This window comes from Homo sapiens, chromosome 5 (assembly GCF_000001405.40).
Source record: "Homo sapiens chromosome 5, GRCh38.p14 Primary Assembly".
Taxonomy (NCBI): Eukaryota; Metazoa; Chordata; class Mammalia; order Primates; family Hominidae; genus Homo; species Homo sapiens.
In genome coordinates, this window is record NC_000005.10 from 149115868 (window position 1) to 149141689 (window position 25822).

General features: G+C 43.4%; 1 protein-coding gene and 1 pseudogene across 8 annotated transcripts in view, besides 1 other annotated feature; one reads left to right on the forward strand and one right to left on the reverse strand.

The window, feature by feature from the left end:
* Positions 311–613, reverse strand: RN7SKP145 (RN7SK pseudogene 145; annotated as a pseudogene).
* Positions 25492–25741: a silencer, noted in NCBI's record as "silent region_16493". NCBI's record gives its function as "represses an Ori minimal core promoter by ATAC-STARR-seq in GM12878 lymphoblastoid cells {active_cell/tissue: GM12878}" and the evidence as "EXISTENCE:reporter gene assay evidence [ECO:0000049][PMID:35858748]".
* The window catches only part of ABLIM3 (actin binding LIM protein family member 3), a 119050-nt gene continuing 118853 nt past the window's right edge, over positions 25626–25822 (forward strand). For all 8 annotated transcript variants that reach the window (NM_014945.5, NM_001301018.3, NM_001345858.2 and 5 more), the window contains exon 1: positions 25626–25787. The gene's annotated coding sequence lies outside the window, so the exon portion shown is untranslated. The remainder of the gene's footprint in view (positions 25788–25822) is intronic.

A 25822-nucleotide genomic window follows, 5' to 3' on the forward strand; every position in this document is an offset into this window, starting at 1 on the left:
TCCTCCTTCCTGTTTTCCATTATCTTTGTTCTCTCTCTCTTGCACTGGAACCTCTCACCAGAACTCATCGGATTTAATGTCAGGATTTAAAATCACCAGGGCATTTAACCAAAGCTCACTGGATTTGATGTCAGGATTCTGAGGTTCCAGAGGGAAGGCCTTGGGTTCAGCCTCTTCACCCCTGGGGTCCTCATTTCCCCCTGCGGTAACATGATGGGGTGGTTCAGAGCAATGTTCTCACCTTGGCTGCCCACCAGCCCCACCTCGGGAGCTTTTATCATTATTGCTGTCCTGGCCTCACAGGCCATTTAGATGACAGCCTCTGATTGTGGAATTTCTATTTCTTCCTTTAATTTTCTCAATTGCTTCTTTGTATATTTTGAGAGCTTGTTTGGAGGTCCTATCAGCACAGCTACTGGTATACCCTTGACCCAAGACTGGTCCTTCTCTATTGGGGATGGTCATCCTCTACTACCAAGCACACAGCTCCGGGAGGGATGCATGTGGAGTGGTGAGGGAGGAAGAGGACACCCACCTAGCCAGCCAGATCAGCCAAATCAACCCTGAAGATCAATGGGGTGACGGATGTTGCAGCCAGCTTGCCCTCACATCTTCTTGTATATTTTGAACGTCTATTATTCAGCACACGCCTTCATGATTATATGTCTTTTGGGGTATTAATATAGCCACTTTAAACTTCTTGTGCTCTGCAGTTTACATGATATATCTTTTTCAATCCATTTGCTTTTAACCTCTCTTTATACTTAAATTATAACTTCTGAATAGTATATAATTGAATCTTACTTTTTAAAAATAAATTCTGATAGACTGTCCATTTTAATTAGAGTGCTGTTTCACACTCTTCTGGCCTCCATGATTTCTGATGAGAAGTCAGAGATCTTTGGAATTGATATTCTATTTAATGTAATGTGTCTTTTTCTCTGGCTTTTTCAATATTTTCTCTTTACCTTTAGATTTCAACACTTTGACTATGATGTGACAAGGTGCACTCTTCTTCTCATTTATCCTAAGTTATGGTTTATTGAGATTCTTAAGAATTTGTACCTTTCAAAAAAATATCTCCTGGGCACGGTGGCTCACGCCTGTAATCCCAGCATTTTGAGAGACTGAGGCGGGCGGATCACCTGAGGTCAGGAGTTCAAGACCGGCCTGGCCAACATGGTGAAACTCCATCTCTACTAAAAATACAAAAATTCGCTGGGTGTAGAGGCAGGCACCTGTAATCCCAGCTACTTTGGGAGGCTGAGGCTAGAGAATCGCTTGAACCCGGGAGTCACAGGTTGCAGTGAGCCGAAATCATGCCATTGTACTCCAGCCTGGGAAACAAGAGTGAAACTCCGTCTCAAAAAAAAAAAAAAAAAAAACTACTCAATTCTATCTCTCCTCTTACCTTGGGGTTCCAGTTACACAATGTTAGATCTTTCATTATTTTCTCACATATCCCTGAGGCTGTATTCATTGTTTAAAAATTTTTCTTTTCCTCTTCAGATTGGATAATTTCTATTGATCCATCTTCAAGTTCACTGAATCTTTCTTCTATTATTTCTATTCTGCTCATAAATGACCTGGCAAATTTTGATTTTAGAGATTGTATTTTACATTCTAAAGCCTCCACTTCGTTTATTTTTATAGTTTTTTGGTTTATGTTTGTCTACTATTATTTTGAATATATTTTTATTTGTTGAAAGTATATTTTTCTTCACTTCAACCAGAATAATTACAATAGCTGTTTTTCAAATTCCTATCTGTTAGTTGTAGCTTATGGATTATATCAGGATTGGTCTCAGTTGATTTCCTCTTCTCTTAAGATTTTCCTGACCTTCATATGTCAAATAATTTTGGATTGTTTTCTGGATATTATGGATATTATGTTGTAAAGACTGATGATTCTGTTATATTCATCTGAAAAGGTGTTTGTGTTTTTCTTTTGCTATAATATTACAGTTTGTTTAGACTCACACTGTAAGCTCTGCCTCAGGAGTATTAATTCAAATTTAAGCTCAGGGTTTTTCCCCATGGGTAAGGCACTAGGAGCATCCCTCCATATGAATTTGGGGGAGAGGGGTCAACCAGAGACAGGAAGAGTTTATACACAGAATTTAGAGCTGTCCTTCTCTGGTTCTCTGCTTTCTATAGTTTACTCCTCACTTTCTAATGACTGATTGCTCCAAACTCTCTCCTCTGATATTTTAGATCATAATCACTGCAGCTGTTCTGTCAGAATTTTAGTCACCCTGTGTGAGGCAATGAGTTTGATAGCCGGCTGTCCATCAAAATTCAAAAAGAAAATGAAACACACCTCTCACTTGCCCTTCTTTCAAGTTTCAACTCCCCTCTGCAATCTGTCTGCTTTTGTTATTGCTCTAATGCCTACAGATCATAGTTTTGTTTTAGTTTGGTTTTGGTTTAACCAATATGAACTTACTTGGGCATTAACAAAACCAGAAATCCTCACCTTGTCACCTCTTGAGATTTTTATTTTTTCTCCCTAAAATGAAGGATTGCTCTAAAAGAGCAATTCTCAACCCTGGCTTTATAGTTAAATGAAGGTACTAACCTTTTAGGAATGCTGCCTATACCCCATCCCTAAAATTCTGATTTAAGTTTCCAGAATGGGGTTTGGGCAAGAGTTTGAGTTTTTTGCTTGTTTGTTTTTGTTTTTTTCTTATGATTCTAATATGCTATCTGAGTTCATCCCCACTCTTGAAGATAGGCACTTTTTAAACTTTATTGGGCACACAAATCACCTGGGGATCTTGTTACACACTGATTCTGACTCATAGCCCTGAGGGAGGCCTCAAGCTGTCCATTTCTAACTAGGTCCCAGGCAATAATAATGTCACTTGCCTGAGGACACATTCTGAGTGGCAAGATGCTACTGAACTCTTATATCCTAGAACAATGGTTGAAAATAGGTAAACAGTAAACCATACCTTTCCAAAACCATGACTTTTTTCCCACACAGTGATTTTCTGAATATCTGTAGCCCTGAACCTTCATTCCCATGTGAAAATAGCAGATGACACCAAGTGTTTGCTACACTTCACACAGGATGATACTCTCTATGTTTCCAAGTCCCCACCCTGTTTATAGCACTTATTTGCATATGCCCCCTGCAGGCTTTGAGTTTAGGATTCTAGCATAGGATTCCGTGAGCAGAGAAGGTAAACATCATGAGAGAACATATACTACAGGGTTGTTCTGAGAATGAAGTGAGATATTATAGGTAAGGCAGCACTGTTTGCAGCCCATATAAAATGTTGAATAAATATTAGTTATTTGTAGTCAACATCTATTGGATTTTTTTCCCTTTTTCAGTATTCCTTTTCTTATAAAAACAATACCCCGATTTCCCTATAGAAGCCAATCCTTAACCATTCTCAGTATATGTGGTTCATGTGGGGCTAACACCATCTCTAGCTCCAAAAGTAGGCATTGACCTAGGTATGTATATAAACCTAGGTATGTGTATTCAAGAGAAATAAAAGCATTCTGTCCACATAAAAACCTGTACATAAATGTTCATAGCAGCATTATTCATAATAGCCCAAAACTGATAAGCCCAAATGTTCATCAATCAACAAATGGATAAACAAAATGTGACACAGCATGGGAATGGAATATTATTCACCAATAAAAATAAATAAAGTACTGATACATGCTGCAATATGGATGAACCTGGAAAACATTATGCAAAATAAGAGAAGCCAGACATAAATAACACATATTGTGTAATTCCACTTATATGAAACATCCAACATAGTCAAATCCATAGAGACAGAAAGTAGATTAGTGCTGCCTAGGGCTGGAGAGGATGGGGGATTTGGGGAGTGACAGCTAGTAGGTGAAAGGTTTCCTTCTGCAGTAATGAAAATACTCTAAAATTAATTGTGGTGATGGATGCCCAACTCTGTGAATATACTAAAATTCATTCAATTTTATGCTTTAAAAGGGTAAATTGTATGGTATAATAATTATAATGCAATAAAGCTACTTTTCAAATTGTCTTTCTAAGGCCAAAAAATGTGGGTTTAAAACAGACTTAGCAGTAAAATGTATTATAACAATAACACAAAAGACAGGAGAAACAAAAAGGAAATACTCTTATAAGGTGCCTGTATTATATGTAAAGGCAGCCTCTGATAAGTTAGATGTTAAATTATATGGCAACCAACTGAAAATACCATAAACCAAAAAGTACTTCTAAAATTAAATGTAATCATTAAAAAATGCTCAAAGCAAAAGAAGACAGGAAAACAGGGAAAAAACAAAGAGCAAATAGAACAAAGAAATAATGACAAGATGGTAGATTTAAACGCAACCAAATGATAAATTACATTAAATAAAAATGTCCTGCATTATCCTTAGCAAACTAATGCAGGAACAGAAAACCAAATATCACACATTCTCTCTTGTAAGTGAGAGCTAAATAATGAGAACACATGGACACATAGAGGGGAACAACACACACTGGGTCATATTGGAGGGTGGAAGGTGGGAGGTGGGAGAGGATCGGAAAAATAACTAATGGGTACTAGGTTTAATACCTGGGTGATGAAATAATCTGAACAACAAACCCCCATGACACGTATTTTCCTATGTAGCAAACCTGCATTTGTACTGTGAACTTAAAATAAAAGTTTAAATAAATAAATATGGGCCTAAACTCTCCATTTAAAATTCAGGGATTTCCAGATTGAATAAGAAAATTCAAATACATAGATATAAAGATACATATAACTAGGTTAAAATTAAAAGAATGAAATAAGGAATGCCATTCAAATGCCAGTAAAAGGAAAGCTGGCAAGACTATATTACTAACAGTTAAAGTAAACTTCAGGGGGGTTGGGGGTTCTTATTTTCTTTTTTTTTTTCCAAGATAGATTACTAGAGATCTTAGACACCAGTTCTCTGCAGAAAGAAGAACCAAAGTTACAGGTGAATAATCATAACTTGAATGAAGTATCAAGTAGAAAGTTCTGGAGCCTAGCAGAGAACTCATGGGAAGAAGCTAGGGCACAGAAAAAGAAGAAAGCAAGAGGCTGGCAGAGATCAGCTAGGAACCCCAAGGGATTTGGTATTACATACAAAAAGGATAGGTGGAAGTGGTTTTGGCTCCCCTTATCCCTGCAGGAGACCTCTGGTATCTGAACTGTTGGAGAGCTCTTCCACCCGCATGAACCCAAACACTGGTGTTGACAGTGATCTGGGGACTTCTTAAGGGCATCACACTAGACCACCAGCTCACCCTGAGTTGCCTGCCCTCCCCGTGACCTGAGCAGCAACAGCAGGTGCCATACTTGGGGCACACCCATTGGACGACTGTGTCCTTCCAAGGGAACATCAGTCCCTGTGTTTCCACATCACTGGAGCCCCTGCAGACATTCCTTGGCACCTACTTAGATTGTGGCAGCCACACAGGGCTGCCTGGGCCAGGGGAGCTTCAGGGTCCCCAGTGGTCTAGCCCTTGAGAAATGCTGCTCCTAAGAGAAGGGAGTGCAGCACACCAAGGGGGAACCCCTGGGGACCAGGAGACCAGAGCATGCACTTTCCTGTGCCCAAGAGCTCCCTTGGGCTGAGAGCAACTGCACTACCTCCAGTGGAGAGGCAGGCACTGGGCTCACTAGAGATATCAGATACCAGTTCTCCACAGAAAGAAATTCTGCAAGGGAGGAGTATGGTTTTGTTCCAGCAGATAGGTGGTTGCGGTCCTCTGGCATGGATGTGAAGAGGAGGACTTCTCCTCCCCCTAACTCCCACTGCTGTGGGAACAGCGATGGCTGCTGTCTTGGGAAGTTGGTGCAGATGTGTGGAGAATGAACATTCTAGGGTTATAGGGGTGGCTGCACCCCCACTGGTGGTGTACATACCTGGCCTAGGTTTGCACAAAAGATGGGGCCCCTCCTTCTCTCTACATGAAGTGGCAGCATTCCTGCAGCAGACAGCAAGAGAGCCACAAAGCTGCACGTTTGAGGCTGAGGGAGGAGGCTCCACACAGAAGACATCTGAGGTGAGCCATGGGACAAATGTCTTTCATGGTGCTCGACTACATTGCAGCTTGGAGATAGACAGCAGTGTCTGTCTGATCTGAGTGTCCTGAGTGCCAGGAGGGGGCATGACAGGGAGGCAGGAGCTGCGGCAGCCACCTACCTCACTACGGAGCCTTCAGCGCATTTCATTGGGAGCTCCCCTCACCACCTCTGTCAGGACTGGTGCTTGTGCCTGCCATTGGGGTATCTGAGAGCAGGACTGGAAGTTCAGCTTTGCCCAGCTCCGTCCCCCCATTAGTGACTAAGCAGGAAGCTAAGGCCACCATGCATTCCACAGACCAGCCCATCATCTGAGGTACCAGAGAAATCTTCTCCTGGTAAAGAAAGGTGACACATACGCCATCTTCTGCTGCTGCAGCCAGCTCTTACCTATAAGTGTCATCTACTGATCTACAGGTTGAAATACACAATGTAATTTTTTAAAGAAAGATCTGCTAACAGAAGTGCATGGTGCCGAAGAATGAGATAAGCTTCCTGAGACCTTCACTATCCCAGCCATGCAGGAGACGGCAAGCCTTCTCACAGACTCGGTACATCACTGCTACAACCAGAATTTGAGAAAGCCACCATACAAATACTATCTAAAGCCAAGGAGCTGTTACAGAGGCTTTGACACTGAAAGTACCGAGAACCAAAGCCAAATGATCATACACAACACATATTATAGTCACATCCTCAAGAGGAAAACAATCTCCTCTAAACAAAAGTAAGTTCAAAAATAAGAAGAGATCATTTACCCAGATGAGAAGGAACCAGAGAAACAATTCTGGATATATGAAATTGTACAGTGCTACAATACCCGCAAAGGGTCACACTAACCATCCCACAATGGATCCTAACAACAACAAAAAAGTCTCTGAAATACCAGATAAGGAATTCAAAAATATTTATTTTAAAGCAGCTCAGTGAGATCCAAGAAAAAGTTGAAAACCAACACAAAGAAATCAGAAAGCAATACAGGATGTGAAGGAAAATTTTACTAAAGAGATAGATTAAAAAAAAAAAACAAAAATAACAGGGGTCCATTCCAAGATGGCCGAATAGGAACAGCTCCGGTCTGCAGCTCCTAGCATGATCGATGCAGAAGACAGGTGATTTCTGCATGTTCAGCTGAGGTACCTGGTTCATCTCACTGAGACTGGTTGGATAGTGGGTGCAGCCGAAGCCGGGCAGGGCATCGCCTCACCCAGGAAGTGCAAGGGGTCAGGGGATTTCCCTTTCCTAGCCAAGGGAAGCCATGACAGACTGTACCTGGAAAAACAGGACATTCCCACCTAAATAGTGCGCTTTTCCAATGGTCTCACCAAATGGCACAGCAGGAGATTATATCCTGCACCTGACTCGGTGGATCCCACGCCCACAGAGCCTTGCTCACTGCTAGCACAGCAGTCTGAGATGACCTGAAAGGCAGCAGCCTGGCAGGGGGATGGGTGTCTGCCATTGCTGAGGCTTGAGTAGGTAAACAAGGCAACCTGGGAAGCTCGAACTGGGCAGAGCCCGCCGCAGCTCAGCAAGGCCTGCTGCCTCTGTTGACTCCACCTCTGAGGGCAGGGCACAGCTGAACAAAAGGCAGCAGAAACTTCTCCCAGCATGGCGTTTGAGCTCTGAGAACGGACAGGCTGCCTCCTCAAGTGGGTCCCTGACCCCCGTGTAGTCTAAATGGGAGATACCTCCCAGTAGGGGCCGACTGATACCTCGTACAGGCAAGTGCCCCTCTGGAACAAAGCTTCCAGAGGAAGGATCAGGCAATATTTTCTGTTCTGCAATATTTGCTTTTCTGCAGCCTCCACTGGTGATACCCAGGAAAACAGGGTCTGAAGTGGAAGTCTGGCAAACTCCAACAGACCTGTAGCTGAGGGACCTGACTGTTAGAAGGAAAACTACCAAACAGAAGGGAATAGCATCAACATCAACAAAAAGGACATCCACACCAAAACCCCATCTGTAAGTCACCAACATCAAAGACCAAAGGCAGATAAAACCATAAAGATGGGGAGAAACCAGAGCAGAAAAGCTGAAAATTCTAAAAACCAGAGCGCCTCTTCTTCTCCAAAGGATCACAGCTCCTCACCAGCAATGGAACAAAGCTGGACGGAGAATGACTTTGACAAATTGACAGAAGTAGGCTTCAGAAGGCCGGTAATAGCAAACTTTTCTGATCTAAAGGAGGATGTTTGAACCCATCGCAAGGAAGCTAAAAACCTTGAAAAAAGATTAGATGAATGGCTAACTAGAATAAACAGTGTAGAATAGACCTTAAATGACCTGATGGAGCCAAAAACCATGGCACGAGAACTACGTGATGCATGCACAAGCTTCAGTAGCTGATTCGATCAAGTGAAAGAAAAGGTATCAGTGATTGAAGATCAAATTAATGAAATAAAGTGAGAAGAGAAGTTTACAGGAAAGAGAGTAAAAAGAAACAAACAAAGCCTCCAAAAAATATGGGACTATGTTAAAAGACCAAATCTACGTCCTTACAGTCTATATATCCGACAAAAGACTGATATCTAGGATCTATAAAGAACTCAAACAAATTAGCAAGAAAAACAAACAATCCCAACAAAAAGTGGGTTAAGAATATGAATAGACAATTCTCAAAAGAAGATACACAAATGGCCAACAAACATATGAAAAAATGCTCAACATCACAAATGATCAGGGAAATGCAAATCAAAACCATAATGTGATACCACCTTACTCTGCAAGAATGACCATAATCAAAAAATCAAAAAATAATACATGTTGGCATGGATGCGATGAAAAGGGAACACTTCTACACTGCTGGTGGGAATGTAAGCTAGTAAAACCACTATGGATAACAGACTGGAGATTCCTTAAAGAGCTACATTTTTATTAGTTCAAAGAGATATGTGATCACTGAGAAGGGACAACTGGGCAAAGGCTTAAGAACATGAGAGAAAAAGACCACCACGGACCTCAGGAGAAAAGCATGCTAGGGAAATAGGAGAGCAGTGCAAAGACACAGAGGCGGGAGTATGCCCAGCATGTTGGAGGAAGGCCAGGGTAGAGAGTGCTGATTGAACAGAGTGAGCTGGGGTGAGTGGATTGATCCAAGTTATACAGGAAACAGAGGGTACCTTTTAAAAAAGAGTAATCATCATGCCTGTAATCCCAGCACTTTGGAAGGCCGAGGCGGGCGGATCACTTAAGGTCAGGAGTTCAAGACCAGCCTGGCCAACATGGTGAAACCCCGTCTCTACTACAAATACAAAAATTAGCCGGGCAGGATGGTGCACACCTGTAATACCAGCTACTTGGGAGGCTGAGGCAGGAGAATCACTTGAACCTAGGGGGCAGAGGTTGCAGTGACCGGAGATCGTGCCACTGCACTCGAACCTGGGCAAGAGAGTGAGACTCCATCTCAAAAAAAAAAAAAAAAGGAGTAATCAAAGAGCAAGAGAGAGAGAGACTATTTGCAAAGCTCTGGGCAAAGTTAAGGTAAATCAGCAAGGTCAGGCACCTGCGAGTTGGCAATAGCTAAATGCCTTCAGCACAAGTAGGCCAGAAGGGGCCAGGAGAGAGCAAGATTACTGGAACCTGGAGAGAGCTGGCTGACAGAGAGGGCTGCGGACAGGGATGCATCTCTACCGGTAAAGGAACACAGCCACGGCTTGCCAGGGAAGGGACTAGAGAAGCAAATATCCCGACCTTTCTCAGCAACCATCTCCCCATCCCATACCAGTGCCTGCCGTCGGGTGATCTAACTGCAAGCAAAAGGCAGCAGGGAATGTTTGAAGATTTCTGTGGCCAGTCTCCTAGGAATGTGAGCACTGTGAGGAAAGCTGGAACATGGATCTGGAGGGACAAACGGAGAACGTCCGGGACAGGAAGAGTAGTGGGAAACGAGTCAGAGAGAGAGGTATGTGGTTTGTAAAACCTGTTTGGCTGCGTTCAGAGCCCAGCTTTTACTCTAAGTGAAATGTGCTCCACAGCAGGATCTTGAGCAGAGATTGATAGGACTCGACTTATATTTTACAAAGAACACTCTGGCCACTCCAGGGAAAGCGACTGTGGGTGAGGGAAGAGCAGGAGTGGAGTCTATTGGCCCTGACTTGGCCCACAATGGTAGCAGTGGTCATGAGAAGTATTCTGATTCTGGCTACATCCAGGTAGATCAGCAGGATTTCTGGATGGATTAGATAGAAGGTTGTGAGAGATACAGAAACATCAAGGCAAATTCCAAATGTTTTGGCCTGAATACCTGGAAAGATGGAGTTGTCTTTAACTGAGATGGGAAAGCCTGCAGATGGAGATGACTTAGTGCAGTGGGTTGGTGGGGTGTGGACATATTAAGTTTGGGTCTATTCAGTACTTGATACTGAAGATACCAAATAGACAGTTAGATGCACTAACTTGGAATTCATAAGAATGATAGGGATTTAAAATATAAATGTGGGTATCATTAACAGAGAAATATATTGGAAATATGAGAAGGAATATGTCACTTCCAAATGGGAAAAACAAAGAAAGCTTCATGGAGGAGGTGACATGTAATTTGCATTTTAAAGGGTGGAGTTTTTGACAGCAGAAACAACTGAGGAGAATATTCCAAATGGAAGAGAAACCACTAGTAAAAGTGCTAGAATAGGAAATTGGAGGAATGTTTCAGGGAGGTCAGTAGAGTTGGGAGGAGCTGTAAGCTTGGTGTCAGAAGTCAGACATGGAAATAGAACCAGAACATGGGCCTGTCTTCCAGTTCATTCAAGCATTTGTCATTTATTCCGCATGCATTTACTGACCACTTACTTGGTCTAGGGGCTATGCCCCTTTCTGAACATTAATAATAAAAGCATTTATTGGACACAAATTATGCACTCCATGAGTAAAAACTTATTTAATCCTTACAATGCCCCATAAGAGCTATACTAACATGATCCCCAGTTTAAAGATAAGGAAACTAAGAGTCTGAGTGGTTTGCTCTGGCTCTGTCAGTGGCAGGATTGGAACCCAGGCAGTGTGACCCCAGGGCCTTTGTCCTCATCACTCTGCTCTGCTGCTTTGTCAGAAACACCAAACCAGGCATCTGTGGGAGAGTAGCCTGGCGGCCGTCAGAAATGCAGATTAGTAAGCCATGGGGGAGATGTTCTCCAGACTTTCTTCTGTGTAGGATGTGAAACGTGCTCTCTCCAAGAGTCAGCCAAGGAACCAGCAGCAGCAGCTCCAGAAGAGGAGGTGGGACTGCTGACCCGGGCAGAGGTCACCAAGCTGCTGGGTCTGACTCACCCGGAAAAGCCAACTGCTCTTTCCAAAGCACCAGCTCCCCTTTTCTTGGCTTCCACAGCAAACCTAAGGTCAAGGGCAGGCAACCGAAGCCTTACCCTGGAAGGGTAGCATTGAAAGTGTCCTTGAACAGTAATGTGTCTACTCTTCTACTCCTCGTCTGCTCCAAACCCATTTTAGAGATGAGGAAACTAAAGACCATGGAGGCTTTGTTACTTGTTTTACATTTTCTTGGAATGTCTGTGACAAATTCTACAATAGAACTCCCCAAATCTCAGGACTTTCATGATCAGTGTGCTTCCACAAAACAGGTTAATGTTTGAAAACTAGGTTTCCTAGCAAGCAGGCTGGGATAGGATCGTGGGGGTGTGTGTGTATGTATGTGTGTGTGTATGTGTGTGCGTGTGTCTCTATGTGTGCCAAGTTCATGATACAAGCCCAGGACTGACACTCCCTACCACTCCCAGGGAAAGGAATTTCTCCTCAGTTCAGCTTATCTTTCAGGAAAATTTAGATTTTAGGCATCTGACCCAGTAAATGAGATAGGAAAGAGGAGCCCTGCCATCCAGTGAGTCCTGCTCAGGTGTCTTTCCTGGAGAAATATTCACACCTGTGTAGCAAGAGGCCTGTGCAAGGAAGCCAACAGCAGCATCACAAGAAATAGTGAGGAGTGGAAGGAACGCAAATGCTCATCAACACAGGAGTGATTATCCAGCAGTTAAAAAGACCTACCTCTATGAAGTAGGTATTCATAGAGTCAAAGAAACAGCCTGAAGACATATTACACAAAGAAGAAAAAGGGGAAGGAGAAGACAGAGAAGCAAAAGAAACTGGCAATGCAATGCATACATTATGACGCTTTTTATGAAAATAAAACATCCCAGTTACATGTATGTGTCTGTGTGTGTATAGAAAAGGAATCACCTCAGCCTGGTGATTTCAATGCATTTATTCCCCCAGCAAATGTGCGCTGAGTGCCTCTCCATGGAAGCCTGAGGGGAACCCAGCAGGGCGCAGAGCAAGCAACATCCCTGCCCTCTACTGGCTGGATGAGGGAGGACGATGAGATGCGGTAAGGGGAAAAGAGACGTTCTTTTTTTTAAAGTACCCTGTGTTATCCAAAGTTTTCACAACAATAATTTATTCCTGAATGTGTCGTTACAAACGTGTAAATATGTGAATAAACAAAAGAATAAGGTGGAAGCAGAGAAGGGGAAGGAGAAATGCATGGCTAAGTGCAAAGTATCGGAGGTGCTCATGGAAGGGAGGCTGGGGCCTCTCATTCTAGGCTGCTGTATCACCAGTTCCCCACCCCAAGTAAAATGTCCACAGTGTCTTGGAAAGTAGAGGAAGGAAATCAAGTGATATTATATCTTCTGCAACAAGTATATTCCAATAACTGAAGATTCCACATCTCCCATTGCCTCCTAGTGACCCCCATAGAGCGCTGCCGGCAGGTTACAGCCCCTACAGGGTGCTATCTGAATCATCCTCCATGAATGTCATTACCTGCAGAAATGGTCTCTGCACTATCTTCTCCCTGATCACACGTCTCTTCCCAACCCATGTTCTCTGTAGAGAGTCAACCGTTTACAGAGCCCCCTCCTGATTCTTACTTCTTGAAGGTGCACTCTGCTGCCCACACAGACTACCCAAGGGCAGATCACAGACAGAGGCACATACCTTCCAACCTGACCCCCACCCTGTCCTTGGACTTGTCTTCTGGTTTGCACAGGAAAATTGATAAAATAAACTATTGGCCGATAGGATAGCAAAAATATTGCCCTTAATTCAGTGTGCTCTTTCCTCTTAATAATAAACTAGATTATTAGATTTGGAGTCAGAGCTCTCCATTCAAATTCTGGTTCTGTAAGTTTCAAGATATATTACCTTAGGCATATTTACTCCTATGTAGAAAAATATCACTATTAAATGTGGAATTAAAAGGCCTACCTCACAGAATAGCTGTGAGGATTAAAAGAGGCATTTACAAGTGTTTGGGTTTTGTTATTAATATTGGTGTGTGAGCATGACTGTATCCCATTCTGCTGGTTTCAGGTGCCATCCGTGCATCTGGACATTGCAAGGTGAGGAATAGAAAAAGGTGCCCAGGAAAGCAGAATGTGCCTACCACCCACAACAGAGATAAAATCTCAGTTCCAGCCAAGAAGTGTACACAGAAATACCTCCAAGCAAAACCAGATCTGCCTGTCCTCAGAGATAATCAGAAGGATTCCTTTCAGTTGCCTCAGACCAAGAGCAGCCTGGCTACATTTTTTGCCTCTTGCTTCTCAACTGGCTGGCATTTTCATAGACTTACATTTTAAAAGGCTGTTTACTTAGGAACAAAAAATGAAGTTACATACTCAATTAATTTTAACTTTATGATATTTGGCTTCATTGTCTAATAATCTATTTTTTCTTTTTTTTCTTTTTTTTTTTTTGAGATGGAGTCTCATTCTGTCACCCAGGCTGGCGCGCAGTGACGTGATCTCGGCTCACTCCAACCTCCACCTACCAGGTTCAAGGAAGCAACTCTCCTGTCTCAGCCTCCCAAGTAGCTGGGACTACCGGTGCACGCCACCACACCCGGCTAATTTTTGTATTTTTAGTAGAGAGGGGGTTTCATCATATTAGTCAGGCTGGTCTAGAATTCCTGACCTCAGGTGATCCACCAGCCTCAACCTCCCAAAGTGCTGGGATTACAGGCATGAGCCACCACGCCCAGCCTAATAATCTATTTTAATAATTAAAAAATAGTGTCTCTCTCGTTCTTTTTCCTGTGTGTTTTTATTGATAAATTTCAATGCTTTGAGCAAATAAAACATTTCCCCATTCGATTGCTTCCCGATTTCTTATATGATGTAGCTTTGAGTCCCTGTACTATTTTGGTCTTGCTCCTCTGAAGACCTTGGCTAAGTCCCACTTAGCCAAGTGGTATCCCCAGATCTGCATCCAGAAGTCCAGGTATGTGGTGTTTAATACACAACTGGAAGGTACTGGTCCCTTACTTGTTTCACTCCCTATCCTATTTTAGGCCACATCCACATCAGCCAGCAAGTCAGGAAATGATCATAGGACCACACTTTGAAAACACACATGGGCCAGTGAAACCGAGTGCATTTGCAAATCACTGGGACACATTAACACAACACAGATTCTCAGACCTTGCTCAACCAGTGAATCAGAATCCCTGAAGGTAGGATCACTGGAAATTTTATTCATATGTCCTAGGTGATTCTGATTAGCTGAAATATTGGCAAACACTACCTCAAAGCTCCCTTTCACAAGGATGAGGGATAAGGCATAGAATTTAGGGGTCCTCAATGCCGGAGTTTCCTTTCTTAATCCTCTGAAGCTTCTTTAAACTTTCACTGCCAAGCCAGCAGAGGGTAGCATCTGCAGGGCATTTGGACTACAGAGAACATAATCTGCAGTAACCTTTTTGATTCCTCACGTCTATGATGATAACAAATAACCTGTAATCGTACAGAAAGTCCCTGTCCGAAGTCATGGATTCATTGCATCCTTACACCATGTCTGCAAAGTAGGTGTTGGTCCACCTTCGTGTACGGGAGGAATGTGTTGTCTGAGAGCAGTCAAGTGACATCTCTAAAGCCTTATTTATAATAATTGGCAGTGATAGGGTTTCTCACACATTCCAGGAGGGGAATGAACAGAGGAAGAATTACACATAGTAGCTTCATATTTTAAAACTTACGAGATAACACACACACACACACACACACACACACACACACACACACCACAGCACAACCTTTACTCCCATACCTCACTTCCACCTTCGGCAACCCTGCCTAATAAGAAAGTCCAGGATGCTTCCAACCTACACAGAACCACATTCTTATAGAGGTTATGCAAACAAGTGAAGCAAACTTGTCATCCACACACTTACATGCACAGTCAGCAAAAGTGAGGGAACCGTTTAAATACCACAGGCTAGTTCTCAATTCTTGAAGTGCATGTTAACACCGTAGGCTACTACATTTCAAACCTCAAAGTACAAACAAGCTGCCTGAGAATCTTATTAAAATGCAGATTCTGATTCTGCAGGACTGGGGCAGGGCCTGAGTTTCTGCATTTTTTAGCGAGCTCCCATGTGACATAATGGCAGCTGGTCCATGGGCCATACTTTGAGTTCTAAGTCCAGAGCCTATGTCACCATCTAGCCTCTGCTATTTCTCTCCCTGGATGCAGGCATGAGATGAGAACAGTGGAATACTGACCTTTCCATTTCTTGCCTTTTATTAAGTGAGTATCTCTCCCCATGGGGGGTAATTCTAGAGTTTAAAGACACATATTGTTCATCTATGGCCCCTAAACCATACCTGTTGTTTAATCTCATACCTGAAGAGTGATCGCTCCATAGCTCCAGATTTCTAAGTCATTCCAAGAATTGTCTTAATTAAATGAGATTTTGAGTTCCCACTCATCATATATCACACATCACATATGATGTGTGTCTCACATATGCAACACTATCATTGCCTTAGAGCATGAAGAGGGTATTTTTTTTGTTTGTTTGTTTGTTTGAGACAGAATCTTGCACTGTTGCCCAGGCTGGAGTGCAGTGGAATGATCTCGGCTCACTGCAAGCTCCGCCTCCTGGGTTCACGCCATTCTCCTGCCTCACGCCATTCTCCTGCCTCAGCCTCCTGAGTAGCTGGGACTACAAGCGCCCGCCACCACGCCCGGCTAACTTTTTGTACTTTACTTAGTAGAGACAGGGTTTCACCGTGTTAGCTAGGATGGTCTCAATCTCCTGACCTCGTGATCTGCCCGCCTCGGCCTCCCAAAGTGCTGGGATTACAGGCGTGAGCCACTGCACCCAGCCGAGGAGGGGATTTTGTGTTTTGTTTTGTTTTAATTTTCTTCACTGTCTTCCAGCAGTTTTCAACCAGGAAAGATTTTTGCCTGCCTGGGGACATTTGGCAATATCTGGAGACATTCTGGTTGTCACAACTGACTACTAGCTTCTAGTGGGTAGAGGCCAGAGATGCTGCTAAACATCCCGCAATGCACAGGACAAAACCCATAACAATGATGTATCCTGCTCACAAGGTCAATGATGCCATTGCTGAGCAATCCTACTGTCTTGTAGTCACCCATAATCATCAATATCTTTGGCAACTTACTGAATGCTTTTTAAAGATACTTCAACAAATCTAGGTAAGAAAAATATTATAGACAGCCATTCAAAACAGAAGCCACTGAGGTCTTGCTTTCCATTGGGCAGGAAAGTTTAGTGGTCAAGGGGCCCAGTGACTGGGTTTGAGTGCCAGTTCTCCGACTGACAAGCTGGATGGAATTGGACATGTTTCTCTAGGTCTCTCAGATTTTATTTCCTCAAGCATCAAATGACTACAAGCCCAACAAGAGCAGGGACCATCTCTGGGGCAGCAAAGTATATACATTCTCCTGGCACCTAATAAGCACTTGTGTATATATCAATGAAACAAATGGTGCCTGACTTACAACATAAGTTTTGCAATCTGATGGTGAGTACTACTTTTTAAATCTTGATTAGAGACTTGAATTTTAGGGATTACTGTTACTAGCTGTGCCTTATCCTGGCAGAGCAGGACTTGTGCTCCAGGATATATATAGGATCTTATACTATACACACAGCAGTATATAGCAGTGGGAAAGATTGCAAGCTCTAGTATAATCTGGTTTCAAATCTTAGCCCCACTACTACATGAGCTGAGACATTTGACTTACCCTCTCTACACCTCAGTTTCTTCATTTGAAAAATGGGGGTTATAACAATTCTTATCTCATGGGGCTCTTGGAAGAAATTAAAATTAAATAAGATAATGTATGCAAAGCCCTTTGCACAGTGCCTGGCACACAGCACACGCTCAGTAAAAGAAGTCTTTATTATGCTTTTGGCCTCCAGCCTCCAAATCAAGGGCACCTGATTAGTTACCTCTCAAAAGAGAGGTAGAGACACAGTGCTGAAACCAGAACCTCACCCCAGAGACCAAGCTGATCCAACTCCTTTCTGCTGGATGGAAAGTCAGGAGCTCACCCTCCTCACCAGGGGCTTGGGAATAAATATTCCATGCTCTTCTGCATGCCTGCTTTGTCATATTTGGAATACAGCCCCAATGATGAGATGCCTAGCATGTTCATTCTGCTACAAGACCAAAGGACACTAATAAAGGTGTCAAAGCTGACAATTGTTTGGAAAGCAAAGAAAGAAGTGAGGAAAGGAAACTGCAGCCTTTGATTCAATAATGAATTTTGCATAAAGGGCTCCATATTACAGTGCACCAGAGACCATCCTGCCACACACTTCACGTTCTATTTTTTATGAGAAAGAGGAAAATGAGGGGAAATTTTCAAACAGATATTAGGAGAGTATTCAAGAAAGTAAGTTCACACATATATCTTGATTTAAGCAGGTGGACCCAAGCCATTTATATTTTACAGCATAGTAAAAGCTTAGAGTGGAAAAGAAGCATCTAGTCCAATCCCTTCATCTTCCAGATAAGCAAATTGAAACACCTGGGGATTAAGTAACAAGTTGCGCACCGTCAGCCTTGTAGTGGCTGACTTAGGAAGAAGAGCCATGGGGCTTGTCTTTTTGTCTAATCCCTCCTGACTCTTGGACTGTAAGGCTAGAAGGAAACTTGGAGTTGTTCTTCTCCAGGGGCACACTTCTCTCTGGGCTTGTGAAATTCATTCATTTACTCAAGTAATAGTTACTGAGCACTTATTATGTGCCAGATGCCATTCTTGGTACTTGAGCACACAACAAGCTCTGGACAGAGAACAGAACAGGTGCCTGCTCCTTTTTCATTTTCATTCCAGTAGGCGATGTCAATTAACAAGTGCACAAATAAAGTGTACAGCACAACTTCAGATAGCGTTCTGTGCTCTGAGGGAAATAAAATAGAGCATTGTGACAGAGAGGTACCGAGGGAGAAAGGACAACTGGGAAAGCCTCTCCAAGAGGCAACATTCACTAGAGCTGAGACCTGAATGATGAGAAGGAGCCAGTCACATGGAATTCAGAAGGAAGGGGTTTCAGGTCAGAAGGAACAGCACCCGTGAACACCCTAGGCAAGCGTGGGATGTGGTGTGTACAGAAAAGAAGCCCGTGTCTGGAACAGAGTGGGCGAGGGGTTGATGCTAGAAGGGGAGGTCAGATCAGTGGGCAGAGGCAGGACGCTGAGGTGGCAGGCACTTGCCCTGGAGCCCCTGGAAGGTAGAAACAGGACTGAGATAAGAACTGGAGGCTCCAGGCTCACAAGTTTTATGGTTCTGTGCCAGCCATGGTGTGCAGGCTCTTCCGTCCTGGAGACCTTATGCTGAGTCACCAGGTCAGTTATGGGAGGTGCCACACTGGCCCCTGGACACGTTGTCCTCACACTCAAAACCTGGCAAGGGACAAGCTCTCGAAGGCCAAAGGAGTCCCCAGGAGCAGAGAGACCAGACAGTATTGAGATGGAGAGTGGCCCTCTCCCTTCCCTTTAGCCACCATGACTCATACAAGCTTAGTCAGTCATGAATCAGCCCTACAAGCCCAGAAGAAGGGCTCAGTAAGGCCTAAGGCTAATTTTAAAATCATTATTATTAATTTTTAATTATACAAGAACTCATGAATACATTTTCCTGGTTAAAAAATAAATACATAAACTAAAACATGGTCCCTATAGCTAATGTCCCCATAGACTCCTCTCTAATCCTGTCATCTTGTCATCACCCCCCAACTTCTATCCCACTATTACTAGTAGTTCAGTGAATAGCCTTCCAGACAATTTTTTTTTTTGTGAGACAGAGACTCACTCTGTCGCCGACCATTTCTTATTCCATAAAAGGCATCCCTCACCAGACAACAAGTCTTGAATAGTCCAGGTTACTACATAAATATGCACCCCATTTTTCAAATTGCTGTGTAATATTCCTCAGTATGATATGCCACAGCTTATCTCCCTGTGAACTGTAGTTTAGACTGTTCCCAATCTTTTTGTATTACAAAAAAAAGTTGAAATAAAATTTCCTTTTGGTATATTTTTGTGAGTATGTCTCTACAGTAGATGAAAGGGTTTCCTCTTAGACGTAATTCACAAATGGAAACTGAATTGGTCATGGGAATTTCTAAACACTGAGTGGCTGTCGAGAGCCGGGAGACTTGTCTTTATTATTACTGCCATTGTGGACTCACTGCATGATTTTACCCAATTCCTAACTTCTTTGGGACTCTGTACAAGGAGAAACTTAGTTTTGATGAACGCTAAGAACTCTTACAGTTCTTGCCTCCTACAACTCTATGATTTGGGGTATCAAACCTGTGGGGTTCTCTCCCAAGTCGAGGTTTGATTCCCATTCCAAGGTTATAGGGCACTTGCAGGAGGGCATTGCTGTGGGTTGCAACACATCAAGATCACAGTGTTCCACTCCAGGCAGTAGAACGTACTGTACAGAGGTCAATGGGGAAATGACTAGCACACACATAGCCACTGACTTCTGCCTTTCCTTTTCCATGCCCTTTCTGGATATTAGGGGATATGATGTCACCTTGTATAAATGCTGTATAAATGCCTGAACCTGAACCCATAATTTATAATGAGATGTAACCACAACCTACTCTGCACAGACTTTAGTTTACAAAGCACACAGTTTCTCATGACATTCCTTGAACAATCCTGAGATATATTCCATGAAGGGATAATTATAACATATAACAATGTGCAGTGAATATTATTATTCATTACAGCTTAGTAGATTGAAACAAAGAATGAATTGATTGCCCAAGGTCACCTAGCTAGGAAGTGAGGGCAAACTAGAGCCCAGATGTTCTGATTCCCAGTTCTTTTCTCTTGCACAGGGCAACAATGGACTTCACTGTTGTGTGGCTGTGAACCCATTTGTAATTATTAATAACTAGAAGAGACATGCATCCTCAGCAGATTCTAAAGCATTTACTGGAAGACCATATTCAGAGACAGAATTTAGGTCTCAAAGAGCCAAGGAAATAAAGAGGGAAGAGGACCAAACATTGGGGAAGGGGGCATGGGAGTTAATTAGCTGAACTCCAAACTGAAATAAATAAGTCCATGTTGTCTGAAAGGCTTTTACTCCATGGATTAATGAAAGATGCTGTTAGGGATGATTTAGCTAGACTGGTCATGGAAGGGAAGGTTTTCCTAGAGCAGAGGCAACTAAGGTAATATCTAGAGCATAACAAGGTTCCAGCTGTGTAAAGAATCAAAAGAGCAAACCAGGTATAGGAAGCAGTGAGTACAAGGTTCCCAAGATGAACAAATTCACGGGAAGGTCAGCGAATTTCCTCTGCTCAGGAAACCAAAGGGGGATAGGGTAGGGGCATGGGATAGAGTGAGCCTTCTCAATGCTTGACCTGGGTAGTCAGTGCTAGAGGAGCTCTGAGGACAGAGTCAAGAAGATGGAACTTAAAGGAATCTTGAGGAAATAACCAGCTTTATTCAAGGGAAACAGAGGAGGTGGGCACTACAAGCAGGAGAACTGAAGCTGAAGAGAAAATGTGGGTCGATAATGAGTAACCCACAAAACCTGGCAATGGACAAGCTTTCAATGGTCAAGGGAGCTCCCAGGAGCAGAGTGAAGCCCCTCTATGCCTAATCTGTAAAATGGAACGTAGGATAGAATGTTCCCTGACATCTTTTTTAGATGGTTCTACCAATAAAATAAAAAACAGCCCAGAGAAGGTTAGCCAAGGGAATGGCAGCACTGAGTCCAGTTTTCAGATCTCCCAAATTCCTATCCAGAGCTGCCTCCACCTCAGCTCCTTCCTTCTGCTGGAAGAATGACCATCAGGAAGGAGGTTTGGGCTGTGGCCACATGTGAGTGTGAGGCCTCAGAAGAATCCTATGGTGGGGCCATCTGCATGGAGCCCCCCTGGAGCCCATGCTGTAGCCTCCGGCACTCTGATCTCAAAGCCAGTTCCTTTGTTTCCCCAAGAAACTTCCCAAAGATGTTGGGAGCCACTTTGATTTTGGTTTTGTTTTCCTTAACATTTCCCCACAAAACAATGTGAGGAACAAGAGGAAAAGCATGGCCCAGTCACAAAGCTATTTCAACCAGAAAAACAGGTCTAAATCCTATCAATTCTACCTAGGTTTCAGAGATCCCCAAGAGAGGAAAGGGGGACAGAAGCTCAGAGAGCTTCATACAAAGCACCACTCCCTGTGGGAAGTCTGTTCTGTGTTCAGGGCCTGGGGCTCAGCACAAACCAGTGGTGTCCCTTGGGGAACAAAAGTCCCTACCCCAACCGAGAATGTGGTCAGATCTGCCAAACTTCAAACTTGGTTCAACCGCTCTATGCTTAGAACCAAGAACACTAGAGCGAAAGGAACTGAAGAAATTATCCAGTCTAATCCTTCAACAGCATTTGCCATCACATATACAATACCCTAAAGAACATACTGTATCTATTTTCTGTAATTTTCTTTTTATTTAATCACATACTATGAAAACCCTCCCCCACAATTATACATAGATCTTTCTCATGTTGTTAACCATAACATATTATTTTTCAAAACTAAGAAAAGAAATAGTCACCTTTGGTAAGATATTCAGATAGTCTAGGGATGGCAAGTAGAAACTATGAGACTACAAGCACCCTCCCCACCATTCCCACACCTTATAGACTAAAAGGACTTTGTATTCAAGATGAGGGTGAGTGAGCATTTATTTGTAAATGAACAGGAGCAGGATGAGGAGGAGGCAGAGATGCAATGGGACGGGAATGAGAGAAAGGCAACCAGAGAGAAAAGTCAGGGGCCAAGAGTTGCCTTGGTCAATAACAGCAATGGGAGGCAGGGAGCAGAAAGTGAGGAGGAGAGCTTGAGATGACCCCAGTTAGGGACAGGGAGTCAGGAAAGATGGGAGCTCTTTGTGGTGAAGAAGAGCCCAGTAACGGCAGCCCAGCAACAGCCCCTGAGGTGCAAGGCCATGGCCATGGGTGAAGCTGGCCCCAAAACCTTTCCTTTTTCCCCTCAGAGAAGTTGGAAGGTTTGTCTCCCAATGATTTTGCCACATGGTTTTTCAACACCCAGAGCCTTTGCCAGTTTCCCGGTGAGATTTGTTTATCTCCATTCTGGAGTCTTAATGTTCAAAACAAACTTCCAGACAAAGGGATCCTCTGCTCTGTGGTTCTCAGCTCCATTCTCCTGCAAGGACAGAGTCAACAACACCGATCCCCTGATGACTTTCACAGCCATGTCCACAGAGAATCCCACCCCCAGCTTCCTCCTGCGTCTTTCCCGCTGCCTCTGATTGTTGTGGACATCCTCAAGGGCATAGCTTGTATAGCTTATTTTAGCCCCTTTTTTCCTATCCTTATAAACTATGCAGAGAAAATAAGATTGTTCCCCCGGCAGATGTTATTTGGGCCTTAAAAAGTGGCCCAAGACCCAGTGATCTCTTCTAAGAGGTGAAGTCATCAGCATCTAGCTGGATACATTATCGAAAAGAACCCCAGACAAGAAGAATTCATCAATTAATCTCATTAATTGATGAATAATTAATTCATTAATTCATCAATTAATTTATCAATTAATTAATCACCTGAAAATTTTCAGGCATATTTTCGTGGCCACCACTCTGTGGAAAAGCCCAACAGATTTCCATAAGTAGAAAATGACAGCATTGTCACTGAGGGCAGGTATAAGTGAGGGGTGATATTAATAATTAGTATGCAACCAGCCTTTATTTGTCATGCATTACACTAAGTCCTTTAATATATACGACAATCCAAAAGGTAGGCACTGTGGTTGTACCCTTGTACAGATGAAAACTTTGAGGCTTATAGAGGCTAAGTATCTTCCCCAAAGTGAGACAGCTAGAAAGTGATGAAGCTGAGATTAAAAGTCAGGAAGGCTGGAAACGGCACCTGGGCTCTTCCCCAGGCCACCATCGGGTTTAGCTAATTTATATTTTGCTTAGTTAATTGTCTCCCCGCTGTCCCAGGATTGGATTTATGCTTATGAGGTTGGAGTTCTTTTTATTTCTTTATTTTTTATTTTTTCTGCAATCATCCATTATTGGGTAGAGCTCTTGTCTGTCCTGTTCTCCACGGTATCCCCAGAAGCCAGCACTGGGGCTACCACAAAGCATACCCTCGATAAATAATTGCTGAGTGAATGAACTAATGAATGAATATCATGCTTTCATTTGACTATTTCTTATAATTTGAAATTTTCTGAACATTGAGGCCTTGGGTGATAACTAAATATGCTCATGGAATAGAACAGTTAATTTTACATGTCTAATTTATCTGAACTTTCTCCCAGAAAAATGTTTTTCCAAGCATTAGAATCTAGCAAGTTACCTGCAACTTGGAAACTGAACAAGGAATCCCATCTGAAAATGTAGAGGACACATAAAGTGGAATAATTTAAATATTTACTAATCACTTACGTTTTCAAAGCTATTTTAGGCCTCTACCCTTTTCAAAGAGCTGTCTATGAATCACCTGGGATGCTTGTTTCAAATGCTGAGCAAGGGAGTCCAGGGCCTGGGAATCTGCATTTTTGGAGGTATCTCAGGCGTTTGTTATCGACACAAAATTTTAAGAACGACCGTGAGGACATTAGGGCTATTTTTACCTCCACCCCATTGGACAAAATTCTTTTTTAAAAAATTATTATTATACTTTAAGTTCTAGGGTACATGTGCACAACGTGCAGGTTTGTTACCTAGGTATACATGTGCCATGTTGGTTTGCTGCACCCATCAACTCATCATTTACATTAGGTATTTCTCCTAATGCTATCCCTCCCCCAGTCCCCTATCCCACAACAAGCCCCAGTGTGTGATGTTCCCCTCCCTGTGTCCATGTGCTCTTATTGTTCAACTCCCACTTATGAGTGAGAACATGTGGACAAAATTCTTAACAATCTATCAAATGTGTTTCAAATCTATTGATCCTTAGGTTTATCCAAAGATTCTTTAATCCTGATCACCTCTCGGGGTCATGAGCCATATCCTTTTTTTCCTCCCTGTGTAAGGTAGAAACGTTGTATTTATCTAAAAGCATTGTATAAAAACATCGTATTTGTCTTTCCCCAATTTTAATAGGGCAGCTATCTAATCTCACACTGATATCCCAGACTTTAGTGCACTGAGCCACTCTCACACAGGATCAAGCTAGAAGTGAGAAGATCTGGTCCGATTCTGCCACAAGATGCTGTGTGTCTTAGGGCACGTTGCCCAGCCTCTCTGACACCCTGTTTCCTTGTCTAAGCTGGGGCTGTGAGTGTTCACAGCCTTTTGAGTCTGCACATGCTCTAATTGAAGTCATGCTATAGACAAGGATCATGTGCCCTCACAGTCTTGTTTTTCAGCACTCAAAAGTCATGCTTCTATGATCATGAATTAGGTTCAGAAAGTGACAGAGTAAGTAGTCACAGGAATGTAAAGAGCCCTACCCCACTGAATCAATTGTGACTAAAACACTTTGGAATATAAACTTCTACAATACACACGTATAAGACATAATTACAAAAAAAAAAAAAAAAACAACAACAACTTGGGGGAAGAGTTAGTTGACCATATGAAAACTAGGGTGGACCTGTGAGGCCACATACCTGCTGTTCTCCTCAGACGGGGAAGTGTTTCAGGGTGGGGCGCCTAGGCAGTCTACTCTTAGGGCTGTGTAATATTAAACCCAGAAAATGTCTGGGTTGCTCTGTCAACAAATATTTATTGGTAGCCACTATATGCCGGGCCCTGTGCTAGGTATTGGGGGCCTGTAGGTGAACCCTACGGACAGACCCATTCTTTCACGGAGCTAACATTCTCGTGGGGAAAAGAGGTAATAAACAATTCTAATGATGAATCAGCGATAGAGGATAAAGGGAATCTGTGAGGGAAGAGGGGACATAAACGCTGGGAGGCTGGAAGAGCCCCTTACGTGTTATCCACTTGTCCAGACGCCATATTCATAGTTGAGAAAGATGAGGCAGAGACGGTAGTGACCGGCTTGAGCCTAGACTGCGCCAAGCTTGCCAGAGCAGAGCCGGGTGGAAACTGTCTTCCTGCAAAGCCAGGTTTTCCTTCACGGCCCCTCCTAATGATGTTTCTTTTCCTATCATTGTCGAGCCCTTAGAACCCCAGGATCGAGGGAGGGAAAACAAGCGCTCAAGCACTCCCTCGTTGGTCCCAGGACACAAGGCCTCGTCCATCTCACAAGGCCTCGTCCATCTCCCATCACACCCTAGGGCCCAGGCAGAAGCCCGGCGGGGCGGGGCCTCGGACACGCGCCGGTGCGTCCAGCAGGTGGCAGCAGCGAGCGGCCGCGCCCCCTGCGCTGCCAACCCGCGAGCCCGCATCATGGATGTCGAGCTCCCCTATTTCGCATTGCTAGCCCTGGAATTCGAGACCCCAGACGAGGACCAGGATTCATGAAATCAGTCGCAGGGGCCGGGGCAGGGGCCTCTGGCTCCCGACACTGGCCGAGAGGTGGGTTCCGGGGCGGGTCGCTGCTCCTTGAAGCC